This window comes from Homo sapiens, chromosome 10 (assembly GCF_000001405.40).
Source record: "Homo sapiens chromosome 10, GRCh38.p14 Primary Assembly".
In the NCBI taxonomy this organism is placed as follows: Eukaryota; Metazoa; Chordata; class Mammalia; order Primates; family Hominidae; genus Homo; species Homo sapiens.
The window spans coordinates 63,887,102-63,909,395 of NC_000010.11; the positions used below are offsets into that span (position 1 = coordinate 63,887,102).

Below are 22,294 nucleotides of genomic sequence, written 5' to 3' on the forward strand. Positions count from 1 at the left end.
CTCTACCTCACCTTTGCCCTTCCGATCCATTTTCTACCCTGCTCTGCACCCTGGCAGGCTGCCTGCTGTAGACTATATCATTGGGGCTTCTTTGCTAGCTGACTTCCTGCTGGCAGAGGAAGCAGGATTAACCAGCAGGAAGTCCCTGACAGGGGGTGCTAAGGTCTGGCCTAGTCTTTCCTTGCCAGGTCCCTAGGTTGTTCCCATGGCTACAACTCCCACTGCGCAGCCGCACTGCTGCGGCTGGGGGCCCTCGCTGGGCTCCCGTGGCGCTATTGCCTCCCTTTGCACCTTCCGGTCTGCGTGTTGTGATGGCTCCCTCTGATGGCAGTCGCTGGATGCTTCATCCACGTGTAGTGGTTTTCTTTCCTCTGCACACCTCTCAGTACATACTCCAGCTGGGACAATCTTTTCAGATGAACACCCTGTTTTTATCCCAGTCTGATAAATTTTTCTTGAAAAGAGGTCAAACAGGAAAGCAAACCTTCCTCTGCCTGTCTCAGTGCAATCATGAAGATCACGCAAGATAGTCCCTGTTGGAGTGTGTGTGCTTCAGCAGTGCAGAGCATTCAAAGGTAGGGTGGCATAATAGTTACTGCTCTGGTGATTATTATTAAGGTCTGAGACATCTTTATAACCTTAAAGCATTTTGGACAGCTTTCAATATTTGGTATTTGCACAGTAAATACTAGTTGATTAATTCAGGGAGCCGGAAGTAGGGAGTACTGACAAGTACATCTACCTACTTTCAAGTGTACAGACTCTGTTTCTGGAAGTTACAAGAGAGTCTGGTTTTATTTTCTTTGTTATTAATGAAAATTCCTCCCAGATTCTGGGAACAGGTTGATATACAACCCTAGTTTTCAGTTACATCAGTTTTCATTTATGTCTGGGTTCCACAAGTATTTTGTGGAGTTGGTGGAAGTTATGTTAGGGTTTACTGGCAAGATTTCAATTTAACCTGGGAAACCTTGAATACATAAGTTTTTAAATCGCTGCACATATAAGTCATAGTTTATTTAACCATTGCCTCATTGTTAGAGAATTAGATTATTTCCAGTTTTGCTCTGATAAAGCAATAGAGTGATCATCTTTGCACTCACAGTAGTCCGCACATCATTCAGCAGCGCCATCACTGCTTAGGTCAGAGGCTGGTGGACACAGCAGTAAACAAGGCAAAGCTGTGCTCTTGTGAGTTTATATTCTAGATGGAGAGACAGATAATAAACAAACACAATGAATACATGGGGTAAAGCAGGGTAGGGGTGGTAGGGAAGAGAGGCAATGGGAGTTGCTATCTCAAAAAGGGTAATCACAGAAGCCCTTCTGATATGGAAACATTTGGGTAGAGATCTGAATGACATGAGGAAGCAAGCCAAATATCTGGGGGAAAGGCATTCTTGGCAGAGGGAACAGCCTTTGCAAAGGCCTGGAGACAGGAATGTGCTTAACATGTTTGAGGAACAGCAAGGAGGTCAACGGAACTGGAGTGGAATGAGTAAGGGGGATAGCAGTAAGAAGTGAATTAGAGGGACAAGTGGGGGCAAAATCTTCAAGGATCTTATAGGCCAATATAAAGACTCTGACTGGTCCTTATAGTGATAGAAGACCTTGGTGGGTTTGAAGTAGGAGAGTGACATGAGGAGACTTTCATTTTAAAAGGCTCTCTTTGGCTGCTATATGAAAATGTTCTGGTGCGGGCTAGGGTAGAGTGAGGGTGGCCAGGTGGGAGGCTTTGGGGATAATTCAGGGAGAGATGAGGGTAGCTTGGACCAGAGTTGTCAAAATGAATGTCATGAGAAATGATTGGATTCTGGGTATATTTCAAAGGCAGAGGTGGCTGATTTTAATTATGGATTGGATGCAGGATATGAATGATGAGAGTTGAGGATGACTTGGGTTTTGCCCTGCATAATGCCTGTTGAGGGATAAATAAACAAATGTTTAGTCAGGGCAGTGGTTCTTAAGTTGAGGCGACTTTGCTGTCTAGGGGACATTTGGCAATGTATAGAGATAGTTATGTTTTTTACCCTGGGGTGGGAGATGTGAGCTACAGACTTCTAGTGGGCAGAGGCCACAGACGCTGCTAAACCTCCTACAGTGCACAGCACAGTTCCCTTAACAAAGAATGATCCAGCCCCAAGTGTTGATAATGCTGAGGATGAGAAACCTAGAGTTAGGGAGATCACTACATTTTTTTTTTCTCAGACTCCTTCTTCTCTTGGCTTTGTTCTCTTCTCCACCCCACATGGGTTTCTTTGTTGCTTCTTGTACACTTTAAGAAATGGCTGGCCCAGCTCTTCCCTCTACCCTCCACCAAACGTGACCTTTAAGCTCCCACATCCAAATTCAACTCACTATATATAGTCTCTTTGTTCCAATTCCACATTTTCGGGAGAGAGACATTGATTATCCCAGGTGCTCCTTCCGCTTCAATCCAGTGTGTCAGAGGGCGGGTTCCATGGGCTCTTGTCTGCTTAAAAAAGACTGCAGGAAAGATAGTCTGGGAAGGAATGCGGGTCACATGAGAAAATTAACTGGAGCGTCTGTTGTATGAACTTGGAGAATTCAACCTACAGATTTGACTCCTGGGGGTTCTGCTTAGCCCACAGAATTGTTCAGGTGTCTGTTCATTCATCCTAGTCCTTTTAAATTATAGGAAAAGGAAACCGTATGTGAGGAAAGATGGCTAAAGATCTCCTGGGCAGTATTCAGAATCTGAGTTCCTACTGAGCTGGACATAAGGAGAAAGCTGCTTGCTGTGTTTTTCCTTTCCACTTCTAATTGAATTTGAATCCAGCATATCTTTGGAGGAAGTCATTTAAAGCAACAAACGCTCATAACTAGTGACTGGCATGAAAAATAATAGTGGGACAAGAGAGCGAGCATGGAATGCAATGTGCATGTATTGTGACATATGGCTCTCCTTTTGCGTTTCCACTGACTGTATTATCCAGGCAGGAAGTTGCTTTCAGAGAGAAAGCGGAATTCTGCAGATGGTAGCATAGTGGAATCATTGTCAGAAAGAGGAGAGATTATATCAGACTTATACTGAATCAAATGTTCATTTAAGAATTAGCCTGAGATCATTTTTCCATGCAGTAATGAGCATTTTAGTATTTCCAGCCTGCTGTTCCACATGACTAGTGCACAAAGGGATGTCTCCGAGGACCTCCAAATAGGGCTAATGCAAATTGTCATAGGAACAGACTGATGATGGTAAGGAGAGAGGTAGCCTGCTCAGGCACGGGGAAATGCCGGTGTGCTCCTGGCATGGGCAAAGCAGGAGACCTGGTGACCAGAATATCTCCTTTACTCTTTCTGTCTATTGAAAGTACCTGCGTTTCTCAGACCATTGAGGTGAAGTTTTCAAAGTACCTGCAGACAAGCAGTTATCAACTAATAATTAAGGCATAAGAGGCTACTTGCATTTTTAAAAAACAGGTTTATTGAGATGTAATTCACATACAATTCACCCATTTAAAGTGTATAGTTCAATGGTTTTTAGAGTATTCACAGAGTTGTGCATCTATCATCATAATCGATTTTAGAACAGTTTCATTACTCTCAAAAGAAAACCCATACCCATTTCTCCCAAAATGCCAGCCCTAGGCAACTACTAATTTACTTTCTGTTTCTATGCATCTGCCTATTCTAGAAATTTCATATAAATGGAATCATGCAATCTATGGTCTTTTGTTTCTGGCTTCTTTTAGTGTAATGTTTTCAAGGTTTACCTATGTCATAGCATGTATCAATACTTCATTTTTTTAATGGCTGAATAATATTCATTATATGGATATATCACATTTTGTTTATCCATTCATCAGCTGACAGACATTGGGATTGTTTTCATTTCTTGGCTATTATGAATAATGCTGCTATAAATGTTTGTGTACAGGCCATTCATATTTTAGCATTAATTAGTCAACTCAAAAGTCAACTGCTCTAGGAAGTCTGCCATGATCTGCCCTCCTCCTTCTTTCCCCTTTGTCCCTGTTCCATTTAATTACTCTCCCTTCTCTCAGTATCTTGTATGTCTGTTATTAATACTTACTCTCTAGGGTCATGGTTTATTTATTGTCTCACCTGTCACCTCTGTGAAAGCAAGAGTTATGTCTTATTTTATCCCTAGCTCCTATTAATATTAAGTTTACAACTAGTTCTATTTCTCAACAAATTGCTGAATTTACATATATGGCCTTTGACAATGAGTATTTATATTTCACTCTTTAAGGAATTTCAGGCTCTCAGTTCAGCCTGAAAATTCCACATATTTTTCTTTAGTTTCCCACTTATCTGTCACTCCCTTGGTCCTTTTTGGTATGGCTGGGATCCCAAGGTGGCTGGAATCTGTCTGTCCTGGTCATTCATGGTGAACCAGAGGGAGGCACCAAGGGGCTTCAGAAAAGTCAGATTTAAAAAAACTTTACTTTGAAAATGTTAATCTTTTTGCATCTTACCTTTTATTTTTCCTTTTTGAGCTTTAAAGGGAGGGAAACACCCATTGGGGTGCTCCATGGGGGTGTTGATTCAGGGGAGCATTGGGGTAGGTGGAGGAGAATCCTCATAAACGTGTGGGGCTACAGGCCGAGGAGAGGCTTCTTGGACTTGGCAAAAGACGACATTACTGTTAACGACACAGTTGGGGCTTCTCTTGAGCATCTGCTCAGCTGGAGCTACCATCTTTTGCATATTTTACAGGGAATTCTCAGAGCTTCCTTTTGGTCTCCAGGCCTCTGTGTGGTTGACATAGCTTTTGAAGCTGCTGCAGCCCTTCACAGCCAAAGGACAAATGTCATGTCATCAGGCTGGCTCCTGAGCTGCCATGGCTGGGGCTGCCATTCCTTGCTCTTAGGTTGGCTATGTCCCTCAATACTCTTGTTGCCACCATTGCTTACCATCTCAGAGCAACCTTCTGTTTTGAGATTGCTAATTTGCTGGCTTGTAGCCTCACTAGAATCTCTGGTTTTAGAAAATCAAGACCTTGTTTCAGTTCTGTATTCACAGTGCCAAGCACAGTGCTTGGGACTTTGTAGGTTCTCAGAGACTGTTTTTGAGTGGGTCACTTCTTGGCATTCTTTAGGGTCTGGTGGGGAGGTAGATCCAAGAGAGAGGGGTTCTCCAGGTGTGGGAAACAAGCACCTATGAGCATAGAATGAGACTGGAGACATTGGCACATTTTTGCTTAGAGAAAGCCAATCTTGGAATTTAAACTTTTGTTCTGGCAAGCTTGTCTAAATGACCTTTTATTTCCTGTAGACGGATGGTATCTCTCTATCTACTCATGGGGTGCTAGACCTTTGCATAGGGCTTCTGGAATGGTTTCCAGCTCTGAACTTTTAGAAAAGGCACGTGACTCCAGAATTATCTGCCTTTCTTGATCTGGAATTGCCTCAGCTTGCTGAAGACATCTTAAAGGACCTGTTTGTTTCCACCCTAAAAATAAATTCCTGGGCATGTGTATGTAGCATTTGGTACATTTTCCAAGAGCTTTTAGAGAATTTTTTCATGGGACCCACACAGCCCCATGAGGCTGGGGCCATGACTTATCCTTCTATCATTTGGAATGCTGACATGAGGCTGCCTACCTGGAAGACCTCTGGTTTCAGGGAGAATGTGGCAAGGATTTGCTTTTACTGTTTTTACAAAAAAGGCAATGAGGATGAAAGAGGTAATGGCTATTTAGAGGCAAATACAGGTTTTCTTTGTCTCTTTCACCATACATTTCTAATCATCTTTTGATAATTAATTTGTGTTGATGGCACATGACTGCTTTAGATAGTTGGTATATTTTGTTAATAAATTCATTTCTATCTTTCCTCTGGGCTCACTGTTTGGGTTTCCCTTGCCTTTCCATTCTTTTGCCTGTGTTTTGAGAATGAGCAGCCACGTCATCAAATCAGTGGGGTATCCCCACAAAACAAAACAAAGCACCCAAAATAACAAGGGCGATGTGTATCTGCAGGTTTGGAGAGAATCCAACCATAGTGGTGCTCACATACCAAATAAAATGAAATTCCAAGGCGCAGAAGCCCCATCCTTGTATTGTATAGCAGCACCGAGGGACATTTTCAGCACATAGGACACAAGGGATGACTAACATGGATTTCACTCTCTCCTTCAAGTACTTACAAGTGATATTCACTCTGCAGTTAATCAAGTGCTACTTGACAGATTGTGCCATCTTTTCTGATGTATGCTTATTTTCATTGTCTCCAAAGACTGTGAGCTCTGAGAGGTCATGTCTTCCACATCTATGCAGTTCTCACAGTGCCTCCCACACACTGAAACCCAATGAAGAACTGATTTTGGACATTTGGATCAACTGGATATTTTCATTGGAATATCCCATCTTTAGTTCAAATTCAGTATGAGTTACCTTACTCCCCTCTTTGTTCAAAAACAGTTTAAGTGAGCTTACATGTCATGTAACAAGATAACACAAATTAGAGATGGGTGGGGAAAAATAAGAAAAACAAGAATAGGGCCATAGAGTGGATTCCCCAGAGGTACACATGCTGCAGGAGGACCACAGATTTGGCTTTACAGGACTAACTAAGATTAGTTACACAGTTCATTGTCTGTATAATAAAAGCCATCCAGCTTCTCAGAAGTAGAACAATCACTGGACCTCAAGAGCCTAAAGAAGTTTCTTGAAGGATGTCCATAAGATTCACAGCTCTCCTCTGGCCTGGGCTATCCAAGAGGTAGATTTTAGAGTATAGAGAGGAATGAATGGACTACACAGCTTCCAACCAATCCTTCCTGATTTTTATTTCTCCCATATGAGCTTTTGCTCAAATGCAGTTTATTTTTAAGAGAACATACCCTTCTTTATCTCGCCCTAACTATTCCTTCTGCTTCCCTTTTTCTGAAAGAAAACAATAACCACACAGCCACATAAGTCTGTATGACCATGGTTGTATAGGACTTCTTTGCTCATTTGTTTCCATATCCAATCAGTCATCAAAATCTGTTCCTTTCTTCCTTTCTCTTCTTCTCCCACTGTCCCTTCCTCCTCCTCTCCTACCCTCCCTTCCTCCTCCTCTCTTTCCTTCCTTTCTTTTTCCTTCTGTCTTTCTCTTCCTTCCTCCTTCCCTTCTCCCATCACTTCCTTCTTTCCTTCATGACTTACTGTATACCAGGAGCTGGGCTAAACAGAAAGGCATGATTTTATGTAACAGTCAGCAAGGAGACTGTCCAATCAGAAATTATATCAGCTTTAGCACAGGAGCAAGGTCCTCAAAGCCTTCGCTTGCGCTAGGCGTAAACTCTTCAGTTCCTGGATTTGGAAGAGGCATTGTTTCAGGGAGTTCCAGGAGGGCTAAGGTGGTGGGGCATGCACGGGGTTGGGTGGGTCATGGTTTCAGGAAAGGGGTGCTTTCAATATTCACAAGTAATGAAGTGTTTCAGTATTTTAACAGCTGGTAGAGCTGCATTGGCAGATGTTGGCTGCATATCAGTCCTGAGTAAATGGAGTCACAAAGATAACTCAGCTGTGGTTCCTACCCTGGAGGATACTGTAGTTCACCATCTTCAGAATGTGTTTAAAACCATCCTTTCCTCTCCCTGTTTGTTGCTACGATTGTATTTTAGACACTCACTATCTCAGGCTTCACTGATTATAATTATTTCTTAATGGGTCTGCTGGATTTTAATTTTTTTCTTCTCTTATTTTCCCTCTTTCCAATGTTTCATGTATGTACTGTCAGAGAAAATTCCCCCAAATATTGCATTGACCATGCTATATTACTTCTAATCCAAAACCATCAATGGCCTTTCTCTCTTCTTCAGATTGATATTTGAACTCTTTACCTGGGCATCTGAGTCCCTCAATTTTGTACCTGCACCGTTTCATCAAGTGATATGGTGTCACCGAAGAAGGATAAGCCGTGGTCCCCCCTGTTCTTAAGTACTTACAATGGGTGATGTGGTATGGAAGAGATGTTTGTAATGATTGTTATACAGTAAAAGCAAATGGGGGAAACAAATAGGTGATGGTGGTGTGTGGGGTGATGCAGGCTGATGGTGCTGGCAGGGACAGTGAGGAAATAGTCTCTTTGAGTATGATTTCTCTTGACAAGCTGACAACAATCAATTCCTAGTCCAAAGGCTCTGATTTCTAGGTGGTTGAGCCTGGGATGGATAAAGGAGGTTTGTCAACCTCAAAATGAAATTTGTTATTCTTTCTGGGGTGCAAACCGAGGATATGAAAGCTTTTCAAAGTGTACAAACTCTGAGTAAATTCCAAGCCGGGTTAGTGCAAATGACTTTGAAACTCATCATATTCTACCAGCTCCCTCAGAAAGTGAACTGTCAGCTATGAATTGTTGTATGGCATCCTGAGCTGGACTGGATTCACAGGATGAGTCTGCGGGAGAAGTGTTTGGAGTTCTTTCTCTGAGCTGCTCTTTAGGAGAAAGCTTGGCTCAGTAAAACCTAAGCTTAGACCAAGAGAGATTGTTCCTACCTCCCATGTACTGAGACCCGCTTTACATGGCTACTACAAGTTAGGCATTTTGCTCATATTTTCATACATGCTCTCATTTAATCTTCACTATTATCTTGTAAGGTAGATGTTATATTGAAACCCAAAGACTAATTTATCTGAGATCTCCCCTTGTCTAAATCCTAGAGTCAGGATTGTAGGATTACCAGAATCTGTGCTCTTTCCACTCTCATTGTCTTTCTAGAGCTAATGCTTTTTAGAAGTGTTGGAAAGGCAGGGATTATACTTTTACATGCACATTGGGAATGAGACTTTAAAGCCTCTAAATCCCACTGCTATTCCCCCTTATTGATAAGGGCAGATAAATGTCCATCTACCCTGGGAAATAAGGATACCCTCCTTCTTAGGCAGAAGTTCCCTTATTTCATGGTTGAGTGACCTCAGCAAGACCATCTCAGTCCTTCAGTCATATGCCTCTATATTCACTTCAGTGCCTTTTTTGGTTTTTGGCAGTAAAGTTCCTTTCAGACAGAGCATTATGCTCTTACTTGCCAATATCCCCACCATTATCTCTGGCTTGCTTTAATCATTTATGCTGCTGCTGTTTGGAATTTGATTTGAGTTGTTGTGAGGTTTAAATAGGATCATCCATGTAAAGTGCTTAGTACAGTCACTGGCACATTGTAAGAGCTAATAAATGGCAGCTACCACAGTGGTTTTCACTGAGCAGAGAGTACCTCATAATCACAAGGTAAGCCCTCACTCTGGACTACTTCTTCAGATGAGCGTGGTTAGTTGACAAGACTTGGAGGAGATGAGGCACAGGTCAGATAAGGTTTTAAACAGGCATGGTAGTCAGGAAGGGCCTTACAAGTGTGATGATCTGCCCCAGAGGATTTCCTGAGCATTCAGATGGACTCATTAAGACACAGTTTAGCATATTTTGGCCCACATCCCAAATGTGGCCTACTGCCTATTTCTCCATAACCTGTGAGTTAATAATTTTTTTTACAGTTTTAAATGGTTGAAAAAATTCTAAAAAAGAATAATATTTGTGACACATGAAAATTGTATGAAATTCAAATTTCACATTCCAAAAGTAAAGTTTTATTGGTACACAGCCATGCCTATTTGTTTATGTATTGTCAACGGCTGCCTTCACTCTGAGTGAAGTGAAGAGTGGTGTAGTAGTGACAAGAGACTATATGGCCTGCAAAGTTGAACATATTTACTCTCTGGCCCTTTATAGAAAGGTTTACTCCAGTGTAAGGTAGAGTGATTTAAGAAAGGGAGATAAGTGAACACTTAAACATATATAACTCAGTTTACAAAGCTTCCAAGGAGAGGCCCTGCTCACTTGGGCCATGAAATTAGATTCTGTCTAGTTTCAGTTCAGTTCAGTAAATAATTACTCAATGCTTCCTATATGACAGAAATATTCTCTGCCCATAGAAACCTCACAATATTATAAATTCATAGACTTGTAGGAAGGAATGCAGAACCACTGAGGTTTAAGTTTAAATCCTGGCTCCATCGTTTACGAGTTGTATGTGCTGCTGGATTTCTTCTGTTTGCCTCTCTAGATCTACCTTCTGTCTTCGATACCCTGTTCTGGGACTGCGGAGGCTGACTCATGGATTTCACTGATGAGCTGTCTTGCTACTCAGGTTCCAGGTGGATTTGGCTGATGGAAGGAGGAGAGGGAATCAAGATAGTTTTTTTTCCAGTTCTCTCCTTACCTATTCGTTGTGGTTGGCTGCATGCCTCTACTAAATGCCACAGCTCCTGATGGAAGGCCTTTCCCATACAGCTACTCTCTCTTCTGGGTACTGGTAACTACTCCCTCCTCTTTCCCTTGGGTTTAGAGTTGTAATAGGCTCTGATAACAATAGTTTTAGGCTGTTACAATAGCTCTTGTTGGTTTTCAAACATCATTCCAGCATTTATAAACAGTTTGAATGAGCTTCGGTTTCCTCATCTGTAAAATTAGGATACCATGTGAGTCGTGATCACAGCACATATAAGCTCCTAGCACAGTGTCTGGGCATGCAATAAGGGCTCAGTAAGTGCTATTTACTTTCTGCTTTTCTTGAGAGCTTATAATTTCTTAAGAGGAACAAGTCGAATGGCTGCAGAAAAGTTTAAACCAAATTAAGGCAGTGATTTAGGGATTATTAGGAAAGGACACATTTGGGAAATAATTTGTAGGTGTTGTAAGCAATGCTTGCAGAGTCTGGGTATATGGGATAAGAGAGAGGGAGGAATCAGGGACAAATTTGATTTTTCTGCGTGTGTTATTGTGTGGACAGTAGGGAGAGAAAATGCAGGGGAATTTTCATATTAGAGAAGAAGATGAGTTTCATCAGAACAAGTAGAATTTGAAATGCCTGTGAGATGACCAGGTGACAGTGTTAGGCAGGTGGTTGGCTGGGTGGCACTGGAGAAGGGTCTGGGTAGGCAAGGAACATTTGAGAATCATCATTATACTAAGAAATAGATAAGAAAGTAGAAGAGGCTGCTGTGTGTCATAGGTTTGGTGGGATGACAGATGCCCTAATGGTAAAAGGACTAGACTGGAAGTCAAGTGATTTTACTTCTTTTTTTTTATTTTAATTTTTAATTTTATTTTTTTATAGCGACACGATCTCATTCTCTCACCCAGGCTGGAGTGCAGTGGTACCATCAGAGCTCACTGCAGCCTCAAACTCATTGGCTCAAGTGATCCTCCCGCCACTCCCAAGTAGCTGGGACTACAGGTGCATGCCACTGCACCCAGCTAATTTTAGTATTTTTTTTGTAGGGATGGACTCTCATTATGTTGCCCAGGCTGGTCTTGAACTCCTGGCTTCAAGCCATCCTCCCGCATCAACTTCCCAATGTGCCTAAGATTATAGGCGTGAGCCATTGTGCCCAGCTGGTTTTATTTCTTGATCTGGTTTGCCAGTCACTGGCTGTTTAACCTTGGAGATTACTTAGTTGCACTGACAATCTGTTTTCTCCAGCAAATGTAAAATGAGAAGGCTGGACTATGTAATATCTATTATGCTATAGAACTTGCAATCTAATTGGGAGGCAAATCATGGAATAACTAGAGATTACTGATAGTATTATCAAGTTCTTTCTGAAGGAAAGCCCCCAGAGACCCATGATCTTCCTAATCAATGGCTCTTGTTTAGTGAGAAGGCAGCACACAAAAACTAAGACTCAGTTTCATGGAATAATGATAACAACAACAACAACAATGGCAATATTTATTGTGAGTGCTTATTGTGTACCAGGCACTCTTCATGGGTTTTACATCTATTAATATTTAATCTTTGCAATAACCTTATGAAGTAGAGACTATTAGGAACCTCCATTTTACAAAAAATGAGAGCATAAAAAGGTCAAATATCCCACTCAAAGTCATAAAGGACGTAAGGATTGAAACTCAAGCTGCTTGGTTCCTGAGCCCAAGTATTTAATCACAGACTGTCTGCTCACAGGGAAAACTGTGAGCTCTGGGGAAATAAGAGGCAGAGGCATACACATTGGAACTAGTAATGTTTTTAGATTTACCATGATTTTAAGAGAGGCATGGTCAGGAAGCAAACTCAGTTATGATTATACTTACCAGTTGTAGGAATCTTAGTTGCTGGCTAATATTTTCACTATACTTGCAGGTAGTATAACAGATATCCCTTTAATTGGTACATTTTGGTAACAACTAAAAAAATTACATATTAACGCATATATAATATGTACTAACATATATTAATATATGCAGATTCAACCTTTTGCGCACCTTCATCCCTCCTCCTCCTCCTACCCCAAGAATCACTTTTTCTGAATTGTGCTTGGCTATGTTACCATCATCTACAATGAAGGTAGGCGAAAGACAGATGACTCTTATCCTTGTGAGTCTTGTAAGGGTATTACTGAGGTCATTGCTTGTTTACTTTCTATAAAGTCTCTCTTATAAGGACTCTACAGGTGAAATTCCCTTGTGGTCTTGTTAATATTAATTGTACTTCTTACACCAACCATTTTAGATATTTTTATTAGAGACCCGTTAGTGAAATAAATGACCAAGTTGTTCCTTTCACAGTGGGCTCTTGAAAACATAAGAGGCAAATCTGTGGCCTATGGTAGTGTCTGTGCTTATGCAGTTTTAGCTTTACTTCTGGTCCCAGTTTGTGATCCTTTGTTTGCTTTTCTTTCCTTTTCCACCTGCTTTTCTTTTGTAGCATCTTGTTGTAGTTTATGGAACCAGGCAGAATTTAAATCAATATCTGTGTGCATGTAACCCCACCCGCATATTCACGAAATGCATATCCACGGTGCATTTTGGACTCTCTCTCCAGAAGGCTGGCTTGCCAACACAGGGACTATTAAGGTTCTATAACAACTCAACATACTTGCTGATAACAAGGAGGTCATCAAAAAGAAACTGATTATTAGGAGGATTATCACAACCATCAATTTACAATTCCTTTGGTGAGTGTTGGTTGCACTTAATGACTCACTGAAGATCAAGTCACACTCCCTTTCAGCAGTAATGTGAGCCTAATAAGCATTAGTGTGATGAGGGCAATGAGTAAACAATCATCTTTGTGATGATTACAATTTGGTCTAGGCAGGAGGGAAAATATTCCTGACTGGGCTTGCTTGACTGTGACAGGAAATGGAGAGGCAGAAGCTGGTAGAGGAAAGGAGAGGGCTGGAGGGGTTAAAAAATGTCAAGGAAATGAGCTTAAGAGACTTGGAGTTGGGGTAGGGCAGAGAGTGTGTGTGGAGGATTAAAGGAAGTCACAGGGAGCTTGATTCAGAGTGGGAGTGAGAGAAGCAGCACACTGGTGTATGTAAGAGCATGGCTCAGATTACTGGCTCCATTGCTTACTGTGTGACCTTGGGCAAGTCACTTGACCTCTGTGTCTCAATTTCCTCAATTGGAAAAGCAGAATAAAGAAGCACCTACCCCATAGAGTTGGTGAGGAATTAAATGGGGATAATTCATGTAAAGTGCTCTGATCAGTGCTTGGTGCATTTATGGGTATTCAATAATTGGTAGTACTTATGCTGCTGCTGTTACACTGTAGAATAGAGAATGCAAAGGTTCTTATCTCAGGCTTCTGAGGTTCTAGGAGCCATCTTATGGAAATGTAATTCTGGGAGCCATCTTATGTTATTTAAGCAACATACAGACTTATAACTTGTATTATGTATTATATGCCACATATTTTGTCAGTCATTTCATTTATACTGTGTTCTTACAATCTCATCTCCCCGTGTATTTCTGCACATCAACATATAAGCCTGGACACATAGTAGATGCTTAGTAAGGACTCATTGAGTTGAATTGAGGGGTGTACTTAATAAATAATATTTTGGAATAATGTAGACATTTGTGAGCTGGAAATTGCAAATGAAAATATTATCATGAAAATACCACTAATAATATTAAGCATAAGATTATATAGGGTTTTTGCCTTTTCTCAACTTTTCCATAAACACATTAGTCCTCATAAGCCCAGTGAGGTGGACAACATGCTACCATCAGCCCCATTTTACAGATGAGGAAATGTGTGTGTCAGTGAGGTTCAATCTTGAGCTTAGATGCCGCAGCCAATAGGCGATGGAGCTGGAGTCAGAATTCAGGTCTTTGGACACCTCCATCAAATAAATGGTTATTCATACTGTTTGGAGTCAGGAAACCTGGGATCTGTCATTAACTACTTAGGAATCTGTGTGGAGTTTCTCTTCTTAACCTGTAATGTGAAGGAGTTTACAAACTCAAATTTTTACAGGGTCAGGTACGTGCGAACTGCAGGTGGATGCAGAGATAGAGGAGTGGGGACAACTGTGAGTAACTGCAGATCGCTGCCCTACCTGAAGGGGGCAGCTGCTGGTCAGCTCAGAGGTGCCTGGTGTGCAGGAAATGAAGGCCCCCACATGGACAACACTAACAAGTTTTTCAAGAAAAGCCCTAAATTTGGCTTTTTATATGAATTTCTCAATTTTAAGTATTGATAACTAATTCAAATGAAAAGCAAACATACACATTACAAGGGCCAAATTAAAAAATATGTGGGCCAAATCAGGCCCAAATTACCAGATTGCACCCTCTATATGAGATTATTTTCAAGGGCCCTTTCAGCTCTAAGAGGCAATGAAAAAGACCCAGTAGCTTCCTGCTGAAAGGCAAGAAATTATTTATCTCCACTCATGGTCAAAACTCATCATCTCTTTTTCCATCAGAGAATATTCCTTGGTACCAGGGGGTGATGCCACCCCAAGCCTCCCAAGTTCTCACTTGTGCAGAGGAGCTGGAATTACCATGCTACACTGCAGTGAGTGACAGATGTAGATGCAGGGGGAGAGAAAAGCAGACCTTGGTTTAATTATGTAAATCTATGGCTACGCTTTAATAAAGCAGTGCAATAAAACTGTCTTAACTGCCAAGTTTGGGAAATAGGATGAGCGAGGTTTTCATTCCCGGTACTATATTTGGGAAGAAAAAAAATAAGAAGAAAAATGCAGAAGCGCTGATTCATCTCTGAAACCCTTCAGAAGCATGTCAGAGATTCCTGTGCTTCTTGCCCCTGCCAAACGACATTTGCAGTGACAACTGGTGCCGAAACCCTAGCAGCCCACACAGAACTCCTTGGGAAAGGAGAAAGCTGAAGTTTCAAGGTTGATGTTTTCTAATGAGATCTCAGACAGTTGAGCTTTCTAGTATTACCTGCCAACTCTTCCTCAAACTAGTCAGCCTTCTCTTTGCCTTACAACCCTGCTTCTGCTGCTTTTTGCTAGAATGTGACAAAAGGTGACCTGGGCTTGCCATTTTTTTTTGAAGGAAAATTTGTATTATTTTAATTATTTTTATGTACAGAAAACTCAACAGTGTACATTTAACCCAGTTTAGTGGCAAGTTCTTTAGCCTTTGCCTTTTCGAGCTTGGCGATACGAGCCACGGACTTAGGACCCAGGACGTTGCTGCCCCAGTGACAGCGGATCTCATCGTATCTGTATCTGTCGTTGTAATTGGTCCTGATAGCTTCCACCAGCTTAGCCAAAGTGTCTTTGTCTTCCGAGTTCACCTGTGTGAAGCCGACAGTGGTGCAGGTCTTCCTGTGGACTAGACGTCCCAGTCTTGCCTTCCCCTTGATAATGCAGTAAGGGACCCCCATTTTACGACACAGGGCAGGCAAGAAGACAACCAGCTCGATGGGATCCACATCGTGTGCAATCACCACCAGCTGAGCTTTCTTGTTCTCCACCAAGGTGGCGATGGTGTTAACTCCTGCTCGAAGGACAGGTGGTCTCTTGGTGGGGGCGTCCCCTTTGCCAGCAGCTTTCTTCTCGGCCTGGGCCAACAGCCTTCTTCTCTTGCTTTGTCTCTGGTCTGTACTTGTGGGCCAGCTTAAGCAGCTGAGTAGCTGTTTGGCGGTCCAGGGCCTGGGTGAACTGGTTAATCGCAGGAGGCACTTTCAGCCCCTTATAGAGGATGGCTCTCTGCCGCTGCAACCTGATATAGCAGGGCCATTTCACAAAGCGGGTGAAGTGTCTTTTGGGCTGGATGTCCTGTCCAATGCCAAAATTCTTAGGCCGTTTCTCAAACAGGGGATTCACCACTTTCTTAGCCTCCTGCTTCTTCATGACAGCAGGGGCCGGAACCACCTTCTTTCCCTTGGCCTTCTTTCCTTTCGGCATCTTGGGCGGCGGGAGGAGAGTGGGCTTGCCATTTTTGAAAGCTGGTGATAGCGGGCTTGTGAATGTGGTGGCAGGTATTTCTTTCCCCATCAGGTGGTGGGGGCTGGAGTGCTGTTCTCCGTGTTTTAACTATCCAAATACGTGCTTGTTTGTTTTGATTTCAGTATTTTTAAAAAAACTCCATTTTCATATTATAGGACTAGGATTTTCATGGCCAGGACTCTATTGGTCATGAGCAGCAGATGCCCACCCTAAAGAGCTAAGCCACAAGTGCCCATAGGAGTGGAATTCCCAGAGCAGATGCTTTGTACTTTATGGACATCCAGTTCTATTACCAGGTTAGAGCTTTTGCCAATAAAGAAAACTGAAAGGGCAACCACTCTCTCATTTCTTCAACAAATAAACAAACAACTTGCATGGAAAAAGAGACAGGGAGCATGAGAGAGAGAGAGAGAGAGAGAGAAACTGTAAATTAAAACAGTGTTCTGGGCCACATGAATCAATGAAAGGTTTAGGAACCTTATTTGCATTCTAAATTAAACAAACTATTAAGAATTTACATGTCAGTTAGGGAACAATGAGGGAATATTAAGGAATTATTATTATTATTATTATTTTAGATAGAGTCTTGCTCTGTCACCCAGGCTGGAGTACAGTGGCGTGATCATGGCTCACTGCAGCCTTGATCTCCTGGGCCCAAACAATCCTTTTTCTTTAGCCTTCCAAGTAGTTGGGACTATAGGCATGTGCCACCACACCTGGCAGATTTTTAGTTGTTTTTTTTTATAGATACATGGTCTCCCTACGTTGCCCAGGCTGGTCTCCAGTTCCTGGGCTCATGGGATCCTCCTGACTTGGCCTCCCAAAGTGCTGGAATTACAGGCGTGAGCCACCGTGCCCAGCCTAAAGTTTTTACAGGTGATAATAATATTGTGGTTCTGTTTTTAAAAAGTCTTTATCTTTTAGAGATACGTGCTAAAATATTTATGGATAAAGTAATGTAATGTCTGGAATTAAAGTAATCTGTGGATGGAAGAGTGCAGTGGTGAGGTAGAGCCAGGTTGTACTTGTTGGAAATAATTGATTGTCAGAATTTCAGGAATTTTGTGAGCTGGTGGTAAAGAGTCATTATTAAAAATTAAATTCTATGAACTTACACTTAAAAAAATTTTAAGAAGCTAATAAATACTCAAAACTTACTGCTTGCTAGTTATTTTACTACAATTACTATGATCTGTGCTCCTGAAATTATTGCATTGATTATATCTATGTGGTGAAAATACTATATAACTGTGCTTCTGCACATCTCTTTCCAATCCTCCGTTGGCAACATCATGCTGGTAACTTGAAGTCAGCCACAGAAATCTACAAATCAGGGATTTCTCCAGGGAGAGCTGATGGTTTTGCATTTACCACCGCACTGCTGGAGGAGTAGGAGGGGTTCGAATAAAACAAAATAGCTTATGAGTTGATAATTGTCTTGAAGCAGAGTGAAAGGAACATGGGGGCTCATTACGTTATTCTCTCTACTTTTACATATGTTAAACTTGTCTATACTGAAAAGTTTAAAGAAATGTGCTGGTTCAGGCATTCTCTTGGATAGATAAGTGTTGCAGTATTAAGGATTCAGACAGGTAAGGAAGACCCTGTGGTGCAAAGGAAAAAGCAATGATCCTAAGGGCAGGGGATGTGGATTCCTTGACTAGCTTTGCTCCTGATGAGCTGTGGGACTTGAGGAAGTCAGTTAGGATCTCTGTGTCCCATAATTCCTGATACACAGTTTGCCCTTAATAATAGTTTGTGGCATTCATGACAATCAGGTAAGTGCAAGGATGAGTTAAAAGTACAGGTGAGATTGTGGAGACATAATAAAGGGTTGCCAAACAAGAGAATTATTCTTCACAACTTATTTCCCATTTATTCTAGATGAAAACTCTGAGTCATTAAATATCTCCCTGAAACTTTTTCTTTAGAGTAATTTTATCTTCTTGGCTCATGGTGATGGATCTTGCTGGGGAGAGAATTACTTCAGATTAGGGAAATACCTGGAGCATAGAAGTTAAAAGTACAGGCTGCCAAAAAGTGGAAATAATCCAAATGTCCATCTCCTGATGAATGGATACACACAATATGGTATATCCATATAATGGAATACTATTTGGCCGTGAAAGGGAATGAAGTACTGATGCATGCTGCAGCATGGATGAACCTTGAAAACCTCCTGCTAAAGGAAATAAGCCAGTCCCAAAAGGCCATATTATATGATTTCGTTTATATGAAATGTTCAGAATAGGCTAATCTATAGAGACAGAAAGTAGATTAGCAGTTCCCGGGCCCTAAGGAATGGGGAATTGGGAGATGACAGCTAAGGGATAAGGTCTTTCTTTCTGGGGTGATGAAAATATCCTAAAATTGATTGTGGTGATGGTTACAAAACTCTATGAATATACTAAGACCAAGGCCAGGCATGGTGGCTCACGCTTGTAATCCCAGCACTTTGGGAGGCCAAGGTGGGCGGATCACCTGAGGTCAGGAGTTTGAGACCAGCCTGGCCAACATGGTGAAACCCCATCTCTATTAAAAATACAAAAAAATTAGCCGGGCATGGTGGCGCAAGCCTTTAATCCCAGCTACTTGGGAGACTGAGGCCTGAGAATCGCTTAAACCCAGGAGGCGGAGGTTGCAGTGAGCCAAGATCGTGCCACTGCACTGCAGCCTGGGGGACAGAGTGAGACTCTGTCTGAAAAAACAAAACAAAATATGTATTTATATATACATACACTAAGACCATAGAATTGTATATTTAAAATGGGTGAATTATATGGTATGTGAATTATATCTCAATAAAGTTGTCAAAAAAGGTGTAAGCTGCCTGGGTTCAAATCCTTGTTTAATTTGCTTATCAGCTGGGGGACACATGACAAGTTTCCTTAACATTCCTCTGCTTATTTTCTCATCTATAAAATGGGGATAAAGGTGATGCTTACCTCATTGGATTTTTATGAAGATTAAATTTAATCCTTATGTAGAAAACATAAAAATGCTTATAGTGTGGCCTATACATGGAAAGAGGGCAAGTAATGTTAGCTACTATCATATTCTTGTTACAGGGGAAGAATTGTGGAAAAGAGGGGGAAAGAGTCTGCTGATGGTTTTTTGTTTTTTTTTTTTTTTGAGACCGAACCTCTGTCTTCTGGGTTCAAGTGATTCTCCTGCCTCAGCCTTCCTGAGTAGCTGGGATTACAGGCATGCGCCACCACGCCCATATAATTTTGTATTTTTAGTAGAGATGGGGTCTCTCCATGTTGCTCAGGCTGGTTTTGAACTCCCGACCTCAGATGATCCGCCCACCTTGGCCTCCCAAAATTCTGGGATTACAGGTGTGAGCTACGGTGCCCGGCCTTTTTTTTTTTTTTTTTTTTTTTTCTCTATCTAATCGTGGCCTGGGGAAGCAAAAATGTAATGAAAGAACTTCAGGTAATACCAGTGTAGTGAATTATAGAGTGACCTCCAAAAGATGTCCTAACCCCTGAAACCTGTGAATATAACCATATTTGTAAAAACGGTCTTTGCATATGTAAGTAAGAATCTTGAGGTGAGATCATCCTGAATAATCCCAATGGGAGTTAAATTCAATAACAGGTGCCCTTATAAGAGGAAGGCAGAAGGAGATTAGATACATAGAGAAGAAACCCATGTGAAGATGTTGGCAGAGACTGGAGTTATGCAGCCCAAACCAAGAAATGCCTGCAGCCAGCAGCAGTGGAGGAGGCAAGGAGGGGTTCTCCCCTAGTGCCTTCAGAGGGAGTGCAGCCTGCTGATACCTTGATTTGGGACCTCTGGCCTCCACATTGTGGGAGTTGAATTTGTATATTTTTTTAAAAAAACAATAAATTTTATTGTGTATATTCAAGGTTTACAATGACATGATGTTACGGGATACATATAGATAGTAAAATGGTTACTCAATAGCAGAAAAACAAATAACTGCTCTGAATTCCACCTTAACCCCACAGAAGGAGAACTCTTTGGAGACACTCTCTCCACTGCCTTGAGGATCAATTCAGAGAGAACTCACACATCGTTCTCTGTGTATTGCCAATCTAATCAATAGGCAGTCACAACAAAGAAGATTGATAGAGATTGGGATGGATAACTGGTGTGAACGTTGAGGGGAAGGTTTGGTTGAATCAAATAAGTTAGACTCTCTTCTTTTCCCCCCTTAATCATGTTAGATTCCATGTCTTAGGGGAAGCATCACTTTTATTGGCCATTAAGAGGGAAAGGTTTTATGATCAAATTGCAGATGTAATTGTTAAGCTAAATTAAATTGTCAGGAGCTCAAAGAAGGCTTCTCTGTTGATTGGAGCTCAGTTCACTCAACAAGCAGTGTATACTTTTGTGATGTTGTCCAGATAACTGACATGGCCTGTATGGAGGAGGTTAGCCCTCACTTTGGTTTTTTAAAACCTTTGGAGGAGAGGCTGAGTGTCAGGCTATATCTTATTTATTTTGACTCATGGTTTGCAGGGAAACTATTATTGCAGAGTTTTTCTGGTCTTGGACAACCATTGTTTCATTAAGTGGCTTCTGAGATCTGGACACCAAGGGGTTAGATGAGCTGTCAGAAATTTCATACTAGCAGAAAATAGAAAGCTCTTATTGTTTTATTTATTTTTTATTGCTAAATTCCATTACACATTGGTAACAACTCTCAGGGCAGAGCATTTCAAGGTTTTATTGTGCTCCCTTAATTGTCAGCCAACTGATCTTTGGTGCTAACCCTTCTTGTTGCTCGCAAGTTAGTGTTTGTCATTCCTGGGAGAGGTTCTGTTATTTTCAAATTGAGCTTTCTGAATCCTGCTTTTTTACTTTTCTTTTTCAATTTTTTTTTGACCTGCAACAATACATATCACCTTTTCCTTCCACAGACCATATTCGAATTTATAGCATTGTGACAGAGGAAATAATTGCTTTATCTCTTTGCCTATTAAGTAGAACATCTCAGTTTAAAGTACTTCACATCTGTATTTTCATCATACTTGATCCTATTATAATGTGTGACATTCCTAGAGGGACTTACGGTGGGCTCTGGCCCCACTTTGAAGCCAGTGCTGCCTATCTGGTTGGCCTTCCCTGGACTCATTCATATGCTGTGGGCAAGCGGAATCTCTCAGGTTAAGTACTTCTTTTTAAAAATACAGGAGGGTTCTTTGAGCTTGGACCTTATACAAAAGCTGAAATAGTTGAGAATGACTGTATAAAATGAACTTACATTAAAATTTATAATTATGAGAGCTAGAATCTATATGGAAGCTAAGACTCCTTGTCCCTTATGATCTACATAAAGTGTGGTTCAAAGCCGCATTCCAAGTGCTCTGGAAAAATATATCCCATCTTTCAGAGTTCTCTAATTCCTAGGTGCTTTTATTATTTCAGGCACTTTTGTCTCTGGCTTTCTGCCTCTACAGGATTCCTATTCTTTTTTGGGGGGTTTGATGCTTGTCTCTTTTCTCTGACCCAGATGTGAGACTTCCTTACTTTCTCTCTCTCTGTCACACACACACACATACACACACACCACCTGCACAATCTATTTACTCAAGGTCTTTGCATGTGGCAGCTTTTACTGAAGGTTTGGGGAGACAAGGGAAGGGTTTTGTTGAGATCTATGAAAACAATCCCAGATTGTGTATTAGACATTATTAGCCCTTAAAAGTTCTCTAGCGTTTTGGTCATATTATTTCTCTAGCCATCTTTTTCTTTTCCTCTCACTCTCTCCCTATGACATATGCAAATGTCTTGAGACATTTTTTGGTTGTTGAAACTGGGGGTGGGAGGACTGGTGTCTAGCAGGTTGAGGCCACAGATGCTGCTAAACATCCTAGAACGCACAGGACGGCCTCCACAACAAAGAATGGTCAGGCCAATGTGTCAGTAGTGGTGACATATTTCTTCTATCTTGCTTCCTTAACTCTCTTTTCTTCTCTCTTTATGAATTACTGTTTATTTCTAATGCAGAACACTTTATCAATCACACTTGTTGCTTTGTCTCTTTGGCTCACTTCACACTATCGATATATTGACCTGACCATGCTTTGTTGTGGAGGCTGTCCTGTGCATTCTAGGATGTTTAGCAGCATCCTTGGC

General features: G+C 41.4%; 1 long non-coding RNA gene and 1 pseudogene across 5 annotated transcripts in view; one reads left to right on the top strand and one right to left on the bottom strand.

The window, feature by feature from the left end:
• The window catches only part of LOC124902439 (uncharacterized), an 820,351-nt gene that overhangs the window by 14,513 nt on the left and 783,544 nt on the right, over nt 1-22,294 (top strand). For 4 of the 5 annotated variants that reach the window (XR_007062160.1, XR_007062164.1, XR_007062162.1 and 1 more), the window contains exon 1: nt 190-575. The exons of the other annotated variant lie outside the window; for it this stretch is intronic. This is a non-coding gene — a long non-coding RNA (uncharacterized LOC124902439). Of the gene's footprint in view, nt 1-189; nt 576-22,294 lie in introns of those variants that run through there. 5 annotated transcript variants of the gene reach the window in all.
• On the bottom strand, nt 15,283-16,164 carry RPL7AP50 (ribosomal protein L7a pseudogene 50; annotated as a pseudogene).